Below are 19,022 nucleotides of genomic sequence, written 5' to 3'. Positions count from 1 at the left end.
TGCTGTCTCTTCATCAATTCTATCTAGCAACTGTAATCAAAGGCTTCAACCTGATGGCAGGACTCTGAGCTGGGGAGAGAGAGAGTTCATCAACCCTTTTAACAATTCCACCCAAGGACTAGCGTGAACGGGTTTGGAGGTTATCAGGCAAGCCAGCAGCACGAGAACACAGCGAGGAGCCCTGGGTGAAAGGGACGGCAGGGAACAGGCCAGCAATCCAGTGCGTCCCCGCGCCGCGGCCCCCAGTCAACCCCTGTTTTAAGGGACAGCACAAACAGACCAGCAATCCAGCACATCCCCGCGCCGCGGCCCCCAGTCAACCCCTGCTTTAAGGAACAGCACGGGACAGGCCAGCAATCCAGTGCATCTCTGCGCCATGGCCTCCTGGTCAACCCCTGCTTTAAGGGACAGCACGGAACAGGCCAGCAATCCAGTGCATCCCCGTGCCGCAGCCCCCAGTCAACCCCTGCTTTAAGGAACAGCATGGGACAGGCCAGCAATCCAGTGCGTCCCCACACCGTGGCCTCCTAGTCAACCCCTACTTTTCAGATAATCCACTCCGCTGACTCTCAAATGGGCTGAGGCCGACCCAGGCTGTGTAAGCCCTGAAGGTTACACAATGTGGAAACCTTCTCTTAGAAAGAAAAAGAACGTAAGACCTGAGTTCAAAACTGGGAGTGCAGGTAGGTGCTTACTTAGAAAAAAATCAGAACAAACTATGAAATTTAAAAGCTGGCAAATACCATAAACATAAAAAACTCTAAAACAAGAATACCTCTCCTAACGAACTGCCTAGCATGCCTCCAGGACAGCCCTTTCCCTGCCTTCTGGCTGCGTATTATTTGATCACCACTTCATATGACGATGCTTTTGTAATATCATGTCTTAAAGGCAATTCAATCTTTCAGGCTAGTGACCCTCAGTCAATGATTCTCAGTTGGGGCATTTCTGGTTGTCACCACACCTGTGATGACAGTCCTAAGAGGTCAAAGGTGCTGGCTAAGAAGGACTCTGGGCCGAGGACCTCTCCACTCAGGGTCCTCCTTCCACAGAGCAGCGGCCCTCTCGACTCCCTCCAACACCAGCCAGACGGGTCACTACCTGAGAAAATGGCCCTGGCAGTCACCTGGGCACGTAAAGGATGACGCCGAGCCTCTCCACAGAGGAACCAGCACCTTCCCAATCCACCTGGGCCAACCTTTGGCAGAAGACGCAGGTGGGGATCCAGGGCTAGGTCTAGGTCATCCACCTCCTGGCACCTCACCTGCCCCAGATGTAAACAGGTGTGAACAGCCCTGCCCTTGCCAGGCTGCTGTGAGAATAAGGGGAGATGCACAGAAAAACGCTGCAGCCGGCACGTGGTGCGCGCTTATTAACGTCTGCCACCATTACCAAGGTAGTTCCGATTACAGTCAACATCTACATGGCTCTGGTCCAGCGGCACCAAACGGCTCAGCCGCCTCCAGACCCCAAGACCCAGGATCTCAGCCAGCAGGCACCTTCACGGGCTGCACCCAGTCCCAGGATCTCAGCCAGCAGGCACCTTCACGGGCTGCACCCAGTCCCAGGATCTCAGCCAGCAGGCACCTTCACGGGCTGCACCCAGTCCCAGGATCTCAGCCAGCAGGCACCTTCACGGGCTGCACCCAGTCCCAGGATCTCAGCCAGCAGGCACCTTCACGGGCTGCACCCAGTCCCAGGATCTCAGCCAGCAGGCACCTTCACGGGCTGCACCCGTGAAGTCCCGCCAGTGCTGACTGGAGACAGTAACACCGACGCGCCTCCAGGTGGTGGGCACTGACTCTGGAGAGCCCCTGAGTGTGCCCTAAGTGCATGCGCGTATGTGCTTGTATACTGTGTGCACGCCAGGCAGACAGGGGCTCAGTAAGCACAGGGGCCAAGGAGGGACGCTGGTGCAGTCACACAGACCGCCTTGCGTGGCGACCCAAGGCCTCAGGGCCCCCCAAAGTGGGGCTGGTGGGTTCTGGAGTATGGTAGAAGTGGTCTCACTTCTTCATCTTTATGCTGTAGCCTGTGCCAGAAAAGGGCCCTTTCCAAACACAAAGGACCTTTCCGGTTGGACGCCGTCCTCTGGGAGAGAGGAGCTCTGGAAAGGGAAACGGGCGGCTGCGGCCACTAGAAACCCGCTGGTCCTCACAGGTCTTGGCAGCCCAAGTGCACGGCTCTGACAGCGATGAGAAGTGAGCACGGTGGCTCAGGTGGGGTGTGTGCAGGGGTTCCTTTCTCTAGAGAGACAGTGATATTTTGGGACACCCTTTCCCTGGTGTTTGGGAATGGTTTGTCTCCCATGTCTTCAGGTACAGGATCCCCTGACACCGTCTAGGGACATCGGGCTGAACCAGGGGTGCAGAGTGCTGGAGGAGGGGCCTTTGGACATCACCAACTAAAGGCTTGATTCGGAGTGTGGCCAGGCACCACGGCCAGCCCAGCAGGACACAGGATGCTGGAGCAGAAGAAGGCAGCGGGCCTGCCGTAAGTGCACACCTCTCCACGTGTTTCCGGTGTTTCTATCTCTGCAGGAGAAGCGGAGGGCTGTAGTTGTCAACCTTCACCTCCGGGCCCAGCCCTCCTCATGCACCTCTGGCAACTCCAGGGACCAATGCTCAAACAGCTGCCTCTGACAGGACCTTGGAGCATCAACAGCTCAGCTGGGTACACGCGATGCATGCAGAGCTACTAGGCACCCGTCAGAGAGCTTAGGGTCAGCTGGGTGTCCATCAGAGAGCTCAGGGGACCCTGCAGGCAGGGCTGCCCACTGGAAAGAACTCTGCATTTCCCAGGACCCAGTTTCTGTTGTTCAGTCACAGGCTTTCTGCACGTGAGGCAGTGCCTAAGTATCATTCCAGGTGGAGCACCATTCCCCGGAAGGTGTAGGGCCACTGCACTGATGGTGATATTCTAAACTCACACTTATTCCTGGAAGCGGTTCAAAACTCATTAGCTAGCCAGCGCGGCAGGGCTTCTACTTCCTAATTCCAGTAAAATCCTGGCTGCAAATCCTCTGCTATTGGGACACCTTTTCTTTGTTTTCAGGAATGTTAAAGGGTCACTGCCAAGTACTCAGGCCAGAGATTTATGGACTTACAGGCACAAAAGTTGCTGTCAGGTCTCCGTCGATTTGTAGACCTCAGAGTCTGCTCCACTGAGTCTGGCTCAAACTCTTAAGGGCAGAGGTGGGGACAGGGGTGGCTCCAGGGTACCGATCCACCTGGATGATTCCCCTTCTGGGAGAGAGAGAGACGGGGGCTTCCAGGAGAAAAGGTCCTTTTGAGGCCAAGGCTTAGGTGGGGCACTCTCTTCCCAGTACCTTCCTCTGGGGAGTTGGGTGGTTCTTAATGTCTCCACCAGGCAGTCACCTTCAAGGCCTGTGCATGATTCCAGCAGGCCCTCACAGGACCAGAGTCTGCCTCCTCTGAGGGCAAAGGCTCAGAACTCCACAGTGCTTGACTGAGAGCAACAGAGTATGTGTCCAAATAAATGCTGAATGGTGGGTGGTCGGGTGGGTGGGTGGATGGGTGGATGGATGGATGGGTGGATGAATGGATGGGTGGATGGGAGGGTAGGAGGATGGATGGATGAGTGGGTGGGTGGGTGGATAGAAGGATGAATGGGGGGTGGGTGGTATACATATGTGTGGATAAATGGATGGGGTGGGTGGGTGGATACATGAATGGGGGATGGGTAGATGGATGGGGGTGGGTGGGTAGATAGGTGGGTGAGTAGATGGATGGATGGATGGATGGATGGTGGGCAGGTGAATGGATGGATGTGCAGATGGATGGATGATGGGTGGATGGATGGGTGGGTGAATGGGTAGGTGGATAGATGGGTGGGTGGGTGGATGGATGGGTAGGTGGATGGATGGGTAGGTGGATGGATGCATAGTGGGTGAAGGGATGGGTGGGTGGGCGGGTGAATGGATGGGTGGGTGGGTGGGTGAATGGATGGGTGGGTGGGTGGGTGAATGGATGGGTGGGTGGCAGGATGGATGGAAGAATGGGTGGGCGGATGGATGGAAGAATGGGTGGGTGGGTGGATGGATGGGTGGGTGGCTGAATGAATGGATGGGTGGGTGGATGGATGGATGGAAGAATGGGTGGGTGGATGGGGTGGATGAGTGGGTGGGTGGGTGGGTGAATGGATGGATGGGTTGGTGGGTGAATGGGTGGGTGGGTGAATGGATGGGTGTGTGGGTGGATGGATGGGAAAGTAAACAGCTTCTGGGGTAGGCTTGAAAGTAGGCTCCACAGGTCCCATCTTCCTACTGGGAACCTGGAGGGAGCTAGTCCTATGAGGAGCTGACCTTGGCAAAGAGCCACAGGGGCCAGAGCTGTGGCAGATGTGGGAAGAATTCTCAGTGCCTACTAGTGGGCCCAGCACACAGGAGGCTGATGTTGCTTATGTCCAACTAGCACTGTTACTGATAAAATTGATCCATAAAAATCCAAATACGTTTCATGCCAGACAACCATTTGGTAGAACAGAAATTCCAGCCACAACTCAGAATATTATCCAGCTAAGTTCTATTTTGGAACTAGTGGAATTTGATATTAAAAAACTGTAGTGTTTAAGATATTATCCACGTCATTTCCTTCTTTGTTCTCTCCCTCCTTCTCTCCTTCCCTTCTTCCTTCTTCCCACCTTTCTGGGAAAACACTACAAGCAACGTAGGAAAGAGCAGGTGTGTGGCACAAACAGGCGTGTGGCTCAAATCTCATTTCCTTACAGAATCATGGTGCCCTGCTTCAGAGTGAGGCAGTTGGGAGGGCCTTCCGGAAGACATGGAGGAAAGTCAGGGCAGCCGACGAAGCTGGAAGCCCAGACGTGGAGTCGGCTGCCCTGGGTTCCACTCACAGTGCCACATACCAGCTGTGTGGCTCCAAGCAAGTTCAGCTCTGATCTGGGGACAACTGCCCTCTGTGGGAGAGCTGGTCCGAGGATTATAAATGCGTGCGTAAGGGGAAGGCAAAAAGCAAGGTGGCAACTCTCAGGACTACCGATGGGAACCTGTCTGCTTCTGGGACTGGGCGAGGAAGGACAGAGTGACCTGATCAAGGTTGCAGGCTAATATGGTTTGGCTGTGTCCCCACCCAAATCTCATCTTGAATTGTAGCTCCCACAATCCCCACATGTCATGGGAGGGGCCCGGCAGGAGGTCACTGAATCATGGAGGTGGGTCTTTCCCAGGCTGTCCCCGTGACAGTAAGTCTCACGAGATCTGATGGTTTTATAAAGGGCAGTAACCCTGCACATGCTCGCTTGCCTGCTACCATGTAACATGTGACTTTGCTCCTCCTTCGCCGTCCTCCATGTTTATGAGGCCTCCCCAGCCATGTGGAACTGTGAGTTCATTAAACCTCTTTTTCTTTATAAATTACCCAGTCTCGGGTATTTCTTTAAAGCAGTATGAAAATGGACTAACATACATGCTAACAAGCCAGAGCGGTCCTAGAGTCAGGGCTCCGGAGTCTGTATGCCAGACCCTTCCAACTCCAGCACCTGCCCAAGGCTGTGTGCTGCCGATTGTGGGAGGCAGGTTTTTTTGGGGTAGGGGCAAGTTGCACTTTGTGATAAGCCGCCCCAGCATGGGGAATGCTCACAGGCTGCAGAAGCCAGGGCAGCAACTGAGCCCCAGGGACAACCCCCAGGCCCAAGCCGCCAGGGCCAGGCTTTCAGGGCCTGCAGAAGGAGCAAAGGCAGGGGCAGGCATCCCCTGCAGGCCTGGCTGGCTGCCAAGCAAGGCCAGCTTCCGGATAAACGAGCCTTGTCTCCTGAAATGGGTGCCACACAGTAGCATTTTCTTTCTTTCTTTCTTTCTTTTTTTTTTTTTTTTGAGACAGAGTCTCACTCTGTCACCCAGGCTGGAGTGCAGTGGCACGATCTCAATGCAAGTTCTGCCTCCTGGGTTCACACCATTCTCCTGCCTCAGCCTCCCCAGTAGCTGGGACTACAGGTGCCCGCCACCACACCCGGCTAATTTTTTGTATTTTTAGTAGAGACGGGGTTTCACTGTGGTCTCGATCTCCTGACCTCGTGATCCGCCCACCTCAGCCTCCCAAAGTGCTGGGATTACAGGCGTGAGCCACCACGCCCGGCCCACAGTAGCATTTTCACAACCGATGAGCTCTATCTTAAAATAAGCGGAGCAGCCTGGGCCACCGAGAAGAATAGGCAGACTCAGCACGCGCATTCAGAGCCTGAGCAATGTGATGTTTTCAATTGATTTCTAAATACACACAGCTCAGTTTTTGCTCAACATTAGGTCTGTGGCTCCCAATGAGGAGAAATCACTTCAAAAATTGCTGGGCTTCACTGTGGGTGTCACCAGTGCTCCTAGCTACACATCTCCAAAGTGACAGAGGTGTCATCTGATAATGATTATAAAAAGATATGAATGAATCAGGGAGCGCAGACAAGACCACAGCTTGACATTTCAGAGTGGGATCTTAATCAAGACTGACAGTGTAATAGGAGCAGTCACATGATGTGGACTTCGCAACAGGTCCACAGGCTGGTTCTCACGGACTGGCAGGAATTAAGTTTATTACAACGGGATTATCTGGAGACATAAGCAGGGCGGTGAGGCAGTGAGAGCGGGGCTTCTCCTGCCGCCACTCCTGAACTTGGGTCTTAGCGAGCGCAGCTCAGCCCAGGCGCCCTGGGCAGACACTCACAACCTCCCCGGCCAGGACACCGCGCCTCCTCCTAAGTGGCTGGAAGCAGGGGGCTTGGAAGGTGAGTGTCCTAGACTCACCCAGGAATGGCGGTCCCTCTCCTGTCCCAGTGGGCCACGCTCCAGCAGCCTCTCATGAGAACACAGGAGGGGGAGCCGACCCAAAGCCCCCTGGAGGTGCTCTGCTCAATGTACAGGAGGGAACGCAGGAGCTGGGTGGAGACCAGAGCCCCTTTGAGGCCGCCCCGACCAGCCCCTGACAATGCAGACCCCGGGCCTACCCAGCAGGGAGCCCTCCACGGCTCATGTTTGGGTGAACACCTGTCTCGAGGTGCACACCTGCTAAGGAGCCCTGGGAGGTGCGGCCACGTCAGCACCTGTGGCTTGTGTCAGCGGTGTCCTCTGAGGTACTTCCTCAGCAACTGGGCCCCAGACACACAGTTCCGTGCGGGCAACTGGAACCAAGGGCCAGTCTTTGGCGGCCTCAGTGTTCTGTGCCTGACTGGTCGCTGCAGGAGCGGAACGGTGACTGAAGCACATAAACAAAGCAATAAAGCACATGACGTCACCCTCCCGCAAAGGCTCAGGGTGGGACTCAGAAGGGCTTTGGCCAAGCCAAAAGGCCTGAATCCAGGCTGGGCCCTCAGGGGAGACGGCTGCAGAGCGAGGGCTGGCCTCCTGGTATTCTGGGTTTCGGCCAAATAACGTGCTACGGCTGGAACGTTTGTGTTTCCCCCAATCCATCGGTTAAAATCCTCACGCCAAGGTGGTAGTATTAGGAAGCGGGGTCTTTGGGAAGTGATTGGCCATGAGCGGGAGCCCTCGGGGAAGGGATTGGTTCCTCTATGAAGGAGACGCCGAGAGGCCCCTCCCTGTTCCACCGTGTGAGGACATGGCAGAGGGTGCTGTCTATGAACCAGGAGCGGGCCCTCACCAGATGCCGGGTCTGCCGGTGCCTTGATTATGGCCTCCCCGCCCCTAGATCTGAGAAATAAATGACTGCTGTTTCTAAGCCCACCATCTATGCTATTTTGTTATACCAGCCCGGAGAGACTAAGATGCTTGTCAATTGCAAAGCACGCAGATTTGGCAAACACCCTAAGACCCACCAAGGGGGCTCTCCAAGGACGGCCTTTGCCAAAACCTGCCTCCTACAGCTCAGGGGAGGGAAGAGGCAAGGTTCACTAGGGAGGCTGGCTGGGAAGCTGTGCCGGGACACACAGCTTCACTTCTCCAGAAGGACATACTGCTCGCTTCTCCCCAGCCTGCAGGTCATCACTGTCCACGGCCCTCCCTGTCCCCCAGAGGCCAAGAGCACCTTGGGGTGGGGTCTGTGTGTCCTACTGCTCGCTCCTCCCCAGCCTGCAGGTCCATCACTGTCCACGGTCCTCCCTGTCCCCCAGAGGCCGAAAGTGCCTTGGGGTGGGGTCTGTGCATCCTTAGCTGGGGGCACAGAGCACACTGCAAAGAGGCTGGGGCACAGATGCTGTCGCTTTTATAAACAGTAGCTCTGGCCACTTCTTCCTCGACAAAGTGATGGGCCGTGAGACAGCTGTGAGGTGCCGCTACCTGGACGATCCCACGAGGACTGCGGCTCACAAGGTATCTCCATGAGTGCCGGAGCCTCTGGACGCCAGGGGGACTAGGAATCCTATTAGGTGACAGTGGCACTGACGATGACACTCCACAGAGCACCTGTGTTTCTCCGGCATTTGCAACAACTCTGAGAGGGGGTGCCAGTAACATCACACGGATGGAGATGCTGAGCCCTGAAGAGGGAGGCGAAGGCAGGGCCAGCCCCTTTCAGAGATGCAAACTTCCTGTCTGAGACAGTTTCCTTCCCACTCCCCACTCCCGGCTCCCCGCTCCCCACTCCCCACTCCCTACTCTCCACTCCCGACTCCCCACTGGCAGGGACCCCACACTCCTCACTCCAACCTCGTGGGAGGCCCATTTTCATGACGATTTTCCCACTTGCGCCCACCCTTCTTCCCCAGTGGTAAGCAGCCATGAAGATACCGCCTGCTTCAGGGGCCAGGCTTGGGTGTAGCCCAGTGTGGCCGGTGAAGCTGGCTAGGCAGGCCTGCAGGGACAGTGGTGGAGAGGCTGCTAGGGGCAGGGGCAGCTTCAGGGCTCCAAGGGGCACAGAATGTGGGGCTTTGGGCAGAGGTATCCAGCACCCCTGCAGTCAGGGAGACCTAGGAAAGCTGCCCCAAGGGAGAAGGAAAGCAGGGGTGCAGGGAGGTGCAGGATGTCCTCGGCTCCTCGCTAAGGGGCAGTACATGTCCCCTCTTTGGGCAGTGAGGGGGCAGTGATGACAGGGCCGGGACGCCACCATGCTCCAGTGTCCACTCTGACTGGACCCCACCACCCCCTCCAGCCTCAGTGAGAATCAGACACACTAAATCAGAGAAGAGCAAATATTTTTTCTTTGCATGAGGAATTAAAAGATCAATGCAACTTCTTCTGTGTGCTTTATCTCAAAAAACAAACACCCCAAAGTTGAACTGAGAAATCCTACCATGTTTGCCCTGAAAATCCTCAAACTAATTAGGGTAACGAAATGAACACACCGTACAGATCCAGGGCTTCCTGGACTGGAAGTGGATCACGAGACGGCACGAAGACCTCCTCAAGAGCTTCCACTTTCTTCTTTTTATCTTATTTTACTTTCTTCTTTGCCCGCGCCGAGTGAAGACGTAGCCAGGGCCCGGGACCAGGTTTGCTCACACTCGCCACCTGCACAGCATGGGCTGGCGACACCCACAGCCCCGGGGCGACTGGGAGGAGACCTACCGTGAGATGGGACACCGGGACAGGTCTGGGGGCTCTGGAGAGGGGGCGAGTACACATCTGCCACCACCCTACCGATGCAACAGGGTGCAAGAGGGGTCCTGATGAGGCAGCTCCCGCTCTGAGGGCCACAGGTGTCCTGGGGGCACAGGCAGTGACGTCCACTGTCCTTGCTCACCTCAGCAGTCCTGGTCCCACGGGGCATGCACAAGCTCAGGGTGGGTGAGTGCTGAAAGGCCACTCAGAATCCCTAGGGACGAGGGGGCTCAAGCCCAGGACCCCTGATTGCCCGGGCTCTTGGTGCCACATGGCCCAGGGTTGGCTCCAAGGAACTGGGTCCACAGCCTCACCTCCTGGTCCCCCGTCCCCGGGTCTGGCCATCACTGAAACAAGCCTCCCTCAGGAAGGCTGGATGCCAGGGCATTTTACACCCCACATTTACACTGTTATTTCACACACAAACTGAGGACAACCAACCTACTCCTCCCAACGTCCTACAGCTTTGGTCGAAGCGTGGAGCTGGGTGCTGTAGGAGAGACCACCCAGGTCAGTGGTAGCCAGCCCCAGGATCTTGAGGTTGGGGGGAGACCGGCTGAATCCTGGGGCCAACGCCAAGTAGCCAAGTCCACCAAAGGGGCTGTGGGGACCTGGGGCGGGGGCCAGGACCCTCACTGCTCCTAGGAGGCTGAAGAAGGCAGATGGGCAGACAGTGGGCAAGGGCCCCCACCGCAGCTGGCACTGGGAGGCCTCAGGGGACGTGGTGGAGGGAGCCTGGGCCTTGGCCCCCGAGTATCCAAGGCCTTCCACACCATCGTGCCTCACTTCCCTCCGTACGTGAGGTTCTAGGAACCTCAGCCACTCATTCCTTTCCTTTTCCACTGCCCTCTCCCTGGAATCTGCAAACTCCTACCCGAGCAACTAGCACTGCCTCCTCAACCGGTGTCCCTGGCCCATCTACTCGGCCACAGTGACCTCACCACGTGTGTCCGGGTGGTCCTGGCACATGGCACGTGCTCAGTGAACAAGCGCTGGGCGAATGAACACAGCACTCCACAGTGACCTCACCACGTGTGTCCGGGTGGTCCTGGCACGTGGCGCGTGCTCAGTGAACAAGCGCTGGGCGAATGAACACAGCACTCTCCGCACACGCCCTGCCTAGAGCTTTTTGGTCACTTCCCCTCGACTTTCATTCCTTCAACAAGTACTAATCTAGGCACCAGGATCTCTGGGCGATTTAGAAGCCGAAGTATTGCAGAATCACCTTCAACTCCTCCCCACCATGGCTACCAGCCCTGTGGGACCCGGCCTCGAGGCCCCTCATCCTTGCCTTGGGCCATGCCCCACTACTGCCATCAATCCAGGGCCTGGCTCTGGCACCTGCGCCCCCCGAGTGGAACTCTCTGCAGTGCCCAAGGCACCAAGTGTTGACCACCCCACTTCTCCCCCTACCCCGACTGCTGCCTTCTCGCATGAACCCCAGGCTGTGCTTGTGCTTATTTTCTGGTTCACTCTCACTCCATCCTCCCTGCCAGGCCACAATGCCTGGGACCTCCATGCCCAGAGTGTCACCTGGTCCAGGACCCGTGCTTGATACATGGCTGCTAAATGAAGGAATCAGCGAAGAAGGAAATGGACCCACCGCAGACCCTCATCGAAGGACCGTGGGATTAACTGGGATGACGGGAAGCAGCGCCGAGCCCTGCGCCGGCCTGCCAGGGGGTTCTGGGAAGGCCGGCTGCCCACAGGTGGGCTCTGCACCACTCTTGTCAGGGAAGAGGCCCCATCCTGCTTATCCCTGAGGAAGACACTCGGCAGCAGAGCCACAGCCAGTGTCCCCTTCCCAGCTGGGGACTGGGGCGGGGGTCTGAGTCTGGCCACAGGTGCAAGAGGGGTCCCGATGAGGCTGGCTGAGGCCTGAGGGAGCGGGTAAGTGGCCAGCCCTTCAGGCATGGAGGTGGTGGGCAAAGGCACAGCCCAGGCTGGAATCAGCCAAGGCTCCGGGAGAGCTGGGCAGGGAAACTCTGTATCAGCCTCCCCTGTGGTGCAACATGCCCTGCCAGGCAGAGGACCCTGGAGGCTGTCTCCCTGCTGAACCCCCCATCTCAATTTGGGGGTGCTCGGTTGTCACATCAGAAACCCAGGACATGAGCAGAAAGGATGCCAGCCACACAGCACGAGGAATTCTTTCTGCAAACAAAGTCCAGGGGTTTGGTAGTGAAGCTGGCTGACCCCAGATTTGACAAGAGGACGCAGCCTCGTGGGTGGGTGGGGCAGGGAGGGTCCCACAGGACACTCCCAGGCTGCCAGTTGCTTTTTGATTCCTTTTACACCCAAGGTTTACATAAAAAGCTCAGGCACTCTCAGCCCTAGCTGCACACAAAAGTGACTCTGTCTCTCCAAGTTTCGCTGCCTGTCAACACTGGCTGATCCAGCCCTGAGTGAGGCCTGTCCTGGCCAGGAGCTGGCGAGGGGCGGTGGGCTACCAACCAGTGCTGCTCCAGCAGAACCCGCCTTCCTTCCACCCTGGCCCACCCTCAGGCCGGCGTCATTTGTTTCCATACAAGATTCTTTCGCGTGTCCTGAAAAGGCTGCAAAGTGGGAAAATGTGACAGCTGAGAGGGAGATGTTTTAATAAGACCCAGGATGTAATCACATTTCTTCAGGGACTGAGCGGATGAGCTTCTCCGAGTTTATCTGCCTTAGATATCAAACACCACCAATGGGATAATAAGGGCTTTTCAATTAATGATTTGAATGGGGGTGTAACTTTTTTCTTTAATGGCAAGACTAATTCACAGGCAGAAACGTGCAAGGGAAGAGACGCCAGCAAAGTCCCCTGCCCTCTGCCCCACAGGCAGGCAGCTTTCTTATGAGGGAGGCATGGGCAGGGCACCTTCTGGAATAACTGGAGTGGACACAGGGGACCTGCTCCAGGCCCACGAGAAAGGGTATTAAGTCCTGAGGTTGAAATGCCAACCTTCACCCAGTCAAGAGAATTTCTACTCTGGAAGGAATGGAGAGAGAGAGAGAGAGACAGCCCACGGAAGGATGTTTGGAGCTCGCGAGGATGCCCGGGGCCGTGTTGATCGTGCTGCCAGCCTGAAGCCGCTGCTGGATCAATGAAGTATTGGCATGACGTATGGCAAAGCTGCCTCGCGCAGGCACAGGGCCACACCACAAGTGTCACCGCCAAAGCTCCATGGCCCTCCTGTTTCCTGACAGCCAACAAGGGAGAGCTCCAGGCAAGGGTTCCAGGAGCCGCCGGTAAGTCCCAGGCAGAAGGGACCTGCCAAGTTCCCACAGGGGACAGACGACAGTCCTAAAAACGAATGTCGAAAAGCCACAGTCCCATCTTAAGCAGTATGTCAACTCTGCTGCACAGCTGGAATCACCCAGAATTTCACAACGGCATTGGGAGTGAAAATCAAAACCAGCACCCCCCACAGGCGGCCCTTTCACCTGGGGCTGGCAAATCCTTGGAATCAGCCTCCCGCTCTGGTACTGGGGCTGCCTCCGCAGGGTGGCTCACGTTCCTCTCAGTCCTTGTCCCCAGTACTTCAGAGGCCCCACCCCAAGCATATTAAAATGCAGCCAGACTCCACACTACGTCTATTTTTCCTTATAAAAACATGGAAAGAGCTGTATAGTTTTGCTTTGGAATTATCAGCTGCAATTCATTTAACTGAAAACTGGCTATGGTTTCTAAGATGTCCCTGTGCACACTTGGGAACCGCTGAGAAAACAAATTCTAATCCACAATTTATGCTCAAATGCCAAAGTTTATATGAATACAAAGTTGAACACTGAATGAAGTGGATAGGCTGTTACATTTTACAGGCGTCGCCTAAACATTTGCCTACTTCAATTTTTGGAGTTCCTTTTTTTCCATATCTCAATGAGCACACTTGGCTCCCTGAGACGGTGGTGGCTGTTCTGTCATGAGCTCACATCCAAGTGAGCCCTTCGGCGAGGCTGAAATCTCCAAATGAACTCCATGTCCACCCCAGGGAGTTCAAGGCCCTGGTTCGAACTGAAATCCAATGGCTCAGTTTATGTTTCAAGGTGCCATTTAGATCACATGGCGTTTCCGCGGACACTCGGGAGTTTCCTGCATCCCCAGCAAACAGCCCGCCTTCAAGCCAACGTGATGTGGGAGCAGGAACCTGCACCTCCCAACCTGCTGTACAAGGTGGGGCCATCACAGCCTCCCCCGGGACAAGGCACAGCAACCGTGGCAGACAATGAGAGGTCAGGAGCCAGGACAGGACTCCCAACACGGCCAGGGAAGAGGAAGAAAGGCCACTCGCACTGGGGAGAAGCAGGACCCAGGCAAGGAGGCAGCTCATGTCCTGTGGGGTCGGAGGCAGGAGTCAGTTTGGGTTGCAGGCCAGAGACAGCAGGGCGGGGCGGTGCAGGGACTAAGGCCGGGCAGGTAAGCAGCCAGGTAGCAGCGGGCATGTGCCCATGGTCCCACGGCAGAGCTGGCTGCTGAAGGGCTACAGGCAGAAGCATGAAGGGATCAAGCGCACATTCTAGAAAGCTCTCTCTGGCTGCATTCTGGAAGGTGGATCGGAAGGAAGCAGGAGTAGGGGCAGGCAGAGCCAGCTCCTGTGACAGTCCCAGAAGAACGGGGTGGCACGGGGCCAGAAGAGGGCTCAGGAACATGGGGTGCAACCGCCAGGCCTGACGACCAAGACTCGGGGGGAATCCAGGCAGACCCCATCTCTTCCAGCACCAAATGGGGGCTCCTAAAGGTGGGGTCCTAAAGGTAGGCTCCTAAAGCTGGGGTCCGGGGCTCTGGCGTCTCACAGCTTGTTTGATCATGGCCCTCAAGGATGTATGTGCAGAAACCGAGGGAGGTGCTAAGAAACTGGCCGCACACTGCACCCTTGCCATGCCACCATTACCGTACTTGACCAAAGTTTATCAGTCTGAAATGAACTGGGAGAAAATCTAAACTGGCCTTCAGCACAGAGAGTTTGGGAGGTGCTGCCACGAACTCGAGTGGCTCCACAGACAGGCTGGGATAAGCCCCAAGCACAGCTGGGCTTGGACGGGGCGGGCGCCCCGGGACTGTGCACTCACTTCTGGCTCCCATGTGGGATCGCTCTCAAGGAGGCTGCAGACCCCAGGGGCCTCTGCGAGAGAGCCAGGGTCACTGTGCACTGATGGGCAGATGCTCCCTTCTGCTGAGAAGGGGCCTGTCACTGCAGAGTGAGGCAAGATGACCAACGCCAGGCTCTGACCCCCACTGTCAGCAGGAATGGCCTTGACATGCCCTTGCTTCCCCAGGTGGCCAGGGTCCCATCGCATGGGCAGAGGCCATCTACTCTTCTTGCTCCAGCAGCAGGGGTAGAAGCTGGCTTGTTGCCCCCACATGGAGTCACAGATCACATGGAGCCCACAGGGGGCAGGGGGAACACTCCTGTGGCTGGAGCAGCCGCAGAGCTCATATTTCCTTCTGCTGCCCACAGAAGCGTCAGCTCAACCAGGTGGTGCAACGTTCACTACTGGCCGATTAACGAGCTTGGTTTCTGCAGCAGAGCAGGCAGGTTCACCATTTCTGCATTTCTGGAAGAACCCGGACTCCACCTGGCTGAGGACACTGCCCTCCAGGGATGCACGAGGTTACAGCAAGGTCTTACATGTGGCACTTGCTGAGTACAAGGACAGTGATACAGTTTGAATGTCCATGCCCTCTCAATCTCATGGTGGAATGTGACAGCTGGTGTTGGCAGTGGGGCCTGGTGGGAGGCATCTGGGTCATGGAGGTGGTTCCCTCACGAATGGCTTGGTCCCTTCCCTGTGGTAGTGAGTGAGCTCTTGCTCTGTTAGTTCAGGACAGAGCTGGTGGTGTAAAGAGCGTGGCACCCCTCCCCTCTTGCTCCCTCTCTCGCCACGTGACACGCCGGCTCCCCGTGCCTCTCACCATAAGGAAAAGCTTCCTGAAGCCTCCCCAGAAGCTGAGCAGATGCTGCAGCCATGCTCGTACAGCCTGCTAAACCCTGAGCCAAATACACCTCTTTCCTTTATAAATTACCCAGGCCAGGGTGTTCCTTTATAGCAATGCAAAGATAAGGTCGGAAATAAGGGGCTATCCAGGAAGCCCACCTTCTAGTAGGTACTCCGGAAACAAATATGGCAGGGAATTTAATTCTCAGGACATTTCCCACAGAAAAATCTTAGAGATGAAAACCTTGAGTTTTGCAGACCGCAGGGTCCCACAGACTGCTCCAGCAAGATGAGGAAAAGACATGTCACCACCACACTCAGGGCAGAGGTGTTGGGGAAGGAACGAAAAGGTGCAAACACAGGCCTAGAGTCACATGGCAGCGAATCTCTCAGAAGCAATGCTGGACACTGTAAGAGAGGAGAGCAAATTCCCGCGAAGCCTGCGAGGAAGTGGCTTCCACCTCCACCCTCCACCCTCCATCCAGAGAGAGGCCAGAAGGCAGCGGTATCCAGACATGTAGATCTCAAGGTAGGTCCCTGCCAGGCTCATTCACACAGAGAAGTGCTGAGGGGTGTGCTCTACCGGACAAGGAAGACAGTGAGGCAAACGTGGGTTTGGGAAGGGGGCTGCGCTTGGGGGGAGCCCGGCAGGAGGGGGTGTCCTGAGGAGGGGCCTAGAAGGGATGGGTCCCAGAGGACACGAGGTGTACAGCACCTGCTCTGCCTGCTCCTCCAGACACGCCCGCTCCGGTAACCTGTCTGGTGGGGAGGGAGGGAGTGGGTGGTTCACAGACTCCTAAGGGAGATGATTGGTGACACCAAGGAAAGTGACATGCTGTCCCAGAAAGGGATGACAGGCACAGTGCACGTGGTGACTCAGCGGCAGTGACGCTGACACAGCCCCACCCAGGTGACAAGTCCAGGCACACCACCCCAGGAGCCTCAGAAGGAAGGGCCGGGCACGAGGGCATGGCCGTGTGCTGGGACCACAGGGTAAGGAAGCCTAATTCTCAGCTTCCCTCTTCCGCTGTACAAATGCATTTCTAAACCTCAGAAATTAAGAACAGCATTGAGAGAGACAGAGAGAGAGGAAAAAACAAGAAAACAGTAGACACAGCAACCTGAAAGGCTGAGCGGCGCCTCTGGCGGTGTGAGGAGGCTGGGATGGAGGGCTGCTCTTTTTTGGTCAAAGTCTCTCAAAATTTCCTCTAATATATAACACATAGCTTTGATTAAATAAAAATTTTTGTTTTTTAAAAAGGTGTAGGCTTGGGGCATTAATACTTGGGAACAGCCCCAGGCCTGCCCCTCTCATCTTTCAGTTTCAAACACCCTCTGCTGAGCCTTCCTCTAGGAATGTAAGGTGACAGGAAAATGGCTAGATTTGTATGCCATAACCCTCAGGATCCTAGGGTCACCACCCACTTCGTGAGTGCCACGAAACTCAAAAGTTAACAGCCTCTTACGGTTTTTTGTTTTTTTGTTTGTTTACTGAGACGGAGTCTCACTCTGTCACCAGGCTGCAGTGCAGTGGCACAATCTCGGCTCACTGCAACCTCCGCCTCCCAGGTTCAAGTGATTCTCCTGCCTCAGCCTCCCAAGTAGCTGGGATTACAGGCACGTGCTACCACGCCCAGCTAATTTTTGTATTTTTAGTAGAGACAGGGTTTCACCATGTTGGCTGGGATGGTCTTGATCTCTCGACCTCGTGATCTGCCGGCCTTGGCCTCCCAAAGTGCTGGGATTACAGGTGTGAGCCACCATGCCCGGGCCAACAGCCTCTTAACTTTTATTACTATTCACACTGAATCATTAGTGGAACATGTGTTCCTAGGAGATCTGCTGAAGCTCATCAGTGACAGGACCTAGTAACTCCAGAAGGGCCAAGAGTCTTCACCAAGAGGTGACGGCACTCACCATGATAAACGGCAAAAAACGAGAGGCCTACGTATCCTGGTGAGCTGGCATCGTAGACATGCACCCGGCTACCCATGGACAGCAAGGCCCACACGCACACACTGTAAATAAAGTAACGCTTCTCTTCACTCTGCTGACGGTCCTGTTTCTTTGCCTGCCTCATGCATATTGCCAAGTGTGACTTCATGAAGAGCCGGGGATCTTGATGGGACTCTGGGGCCCATCTGCCTCGGACGCAGTACACAGCCAGTTACACCGTCGCCAGGTGCTTGCCCGGAGTCCACGTGACTGTCCGTGGCTTAGCCACGGTCATGGCCACTGGGTCAAGCAGGGCCACCGGGCTTGGGTTCCAGCTGCTCTTTCCCCAGAGAAAGTGGTATCCATCACAGAGAGGGATGATTTAATAAACACACGGATAGCTGTGAGCAGAGTCATGGAACGAAAATCGATTTTCTGCAGCCTCGTGCAGGACTCCATTTCTCTTCTTTGCAAAGTGCCTTCATGAGTTAAGTTCTTAAAGGAAAAATGATCACAGCACACCTGGGATCAGCAAGCTGCCCAGACCTCTCCCTGGAAGATGCCACTCAGGGAGCCTGCTGGGGGCACCGGAAGCCAGGGACGGAACACAGAAGGACCAGCTCCTCCTCCCTCCCCTAGCCACTCCTGATTCTCCACCATGGGGCTCCCTGCTGAAATAGGTGAGGAGCTGGGGAAAATGTGGAGCAGATGGGTGGGTGGAGGGGGGTGATGGGTGGGGTGGAGGGGGGTGATGGGTTGGGTGGAGGGGGGATGGGTGGGGCGGGGGGGATGGGTGGGGCGGAGGGGATGGTTGGGGGGGGATGGGTGGGGCGGAGGGAGGATGGGGGATGGGTGGGGTGGAGGGAGGATGGGGGATGGGTGGGGTGGAGGGAGGATGGGGGATGGGTGGGGTGGAGGGAGGATGGGGGATGTGTGGGGTGGAGGGAGGATGAGGGATGGGTGAGGGGAGGGGGGATGGGTTGGGCGGAGGAGAGGATGGGTGGGGTGGAGGGAGGATGGGGGGATGGGTGGGGTGGAGGGAGGATGGGGGGATGGGTGGGGTGGAGGGAAGGACGGGTGGGGTGGAGGAGAGGATGGGTGGGTGGGAGAGGCCGGAAACCCTCACCTCAGGGGGCTCCTCAAGGCTGGGCCAGGATGGCTCAGGTGAGAAGGCGAAGACCACTTGCCCTGAAGAGAACCAACATAAGGCACTTGCCACAAAAGCAGGCGCCAAGAGCAGCACATCTGTGAGCCCTGATGCGTGGAAGCCCACTCCCTGTGGCCCCAGCTCCTCCTGCTACCTGGGAAAAGTGCTCAGTGCCTGCCACTCACATTCTCTCAGTGAACAATGACGAGGCGGATGTTCTCTCTCCACACAGGAACGGGGCCGCCTTCCCCGACGGCAGTGGAAGAGCAAGCTGGCCACAGGTGCAGGCAAGAGCCCCTCAAATGAAGACTCTCGCTGCAATAATGAAAGCCTAGGAGGCCCACGTCAAAAGAAATCCAGGCTGGGCGTGGTGGTGGCTCACACCTGTCATCCCGGCACTTGGGGAAGCCGGGGTGGGTGGATCACCTGAGGTCAGGGGTTCGAGACCAGCCTGGCCGTCTCTACTAAAAATACAAAAAAAAAAAAAAAAAATCAGCTGGG

The 19,022-nt window shown here is 56.2% G+C and overlaps 1 protein-coding gene and 1 long non-coding RNA gene across 8 annotated transcripts in view, besides 4 other annotated features; one reads left to right on the top strand and one right to left on the bottom strand.

Moving 5' to 3' along the window:
• Positions 1 to 19,022, bottom strand: part of TBC1D22A (TBC1 domain family member 22A) — a 413,050-nt gene that overhangs the window by 29,292 nt on the left and 364,736 nt on the right.
• On the top strand, positions 2,106 to 5,156 carry LOC124905140 (uncharacterized). The gene is made up of 3 exons (XR_007068141.1): positions 2,106 to 2,201; positions 2,319 to 2,493; positions 4,750 to 5,156. It is a non-coding gene; the product is annotated as an uncharacterized LOC124905140 (long non-coding RNA).
• Positions 8,247 to 9,186: an enhancer, noted in NCBI's record as "H3K4me1 hESC enhancer chr22:47532865-47533804 (GRCh37/hg19 assembly coordinates)". NCBI's record gives its function as "activates a minimal SCP1, AML or CMV promoter by ChIP-STARR-seq in naive H9 embryonic stem cells {active_cell/tissue: H9 hESC(naive)}" and the evidence as "EXISTENCE:reporter gene assay evidence [ECO:0000049][PMID:30033119]".
• Positions 14,243 to 15,106: an enhancer, noted in NCBI's record as "H3K27ac-H3K4me1 hESC enhancer chr22:47526945-47527808 (GRCh37/hg19 assembly coordinates)". NCBI's record gives its function as "activates a minimal SCP1, AML or CMV promoter by ChIP-STARR-seq in naive H9 embryonic stem cells {active_cell/tissue: H9 hESC(naive)}" and the evidence as "EXISTENCE:reporter gene assay evidence [ECO:0000049][PMID:30033119]".
• Positions 15,618 to 16,817: an enhancer, noted in NCBI's record as "P300/CBP strongly-dependent group 1 enhancer chr22:47525234-47526433 (GRCh37/hg19 assembly coordinates)". NCBI's record gives its function as "activates an origin of replication core promoter dependent on BRD2, BRD4, P300/CBP, MED14 and CDK7 cofactors, with strong dependence on P300/CBP, by STARR-seq in HCT116 cells {active_cell/tissue: HCT116}" and the evidence as "EXISTENCE:reporter gene assay evidence [ECO:0000049][PMID:35650434]".
• Positions 16,260 to 16,779: an enhancer, noted in NCBI's record as "H3K4me1 hESC enhancer chr22:47525272-47525791 (GRCh37/hg19 assembly coordinates)". NCBI's record gives its function as "activates a minimal SCP1, AML or CMV promoter by ChIP-STARR-seq in primed H9 embryonic stem cells {active_cell/tissue: H9 hESC(primed)}" and the evidence as "EXISTENCE:reporter gene assay evidence [ECO:0000049][PMID:30033119]".

The sequence above is a fragment of the Homo sapiens genome, chromosome 22 (genome assembly GCF_000001405.40).
Source record: "Homo sapiens chromosome 22, GRCh38.p14 Primary Assembly".
Classification (NCBI taxonomy): domain Eukaryota; kingdom Metazoa; phylum Chordata; class Mammalia; order Primates; family Hominidae; genus Homo; species Homo sapiens.
Note: the sequence above shows the minus strand (reverse complement) of the source record. Positions and strands in the feature narration are given on the sequence as shown.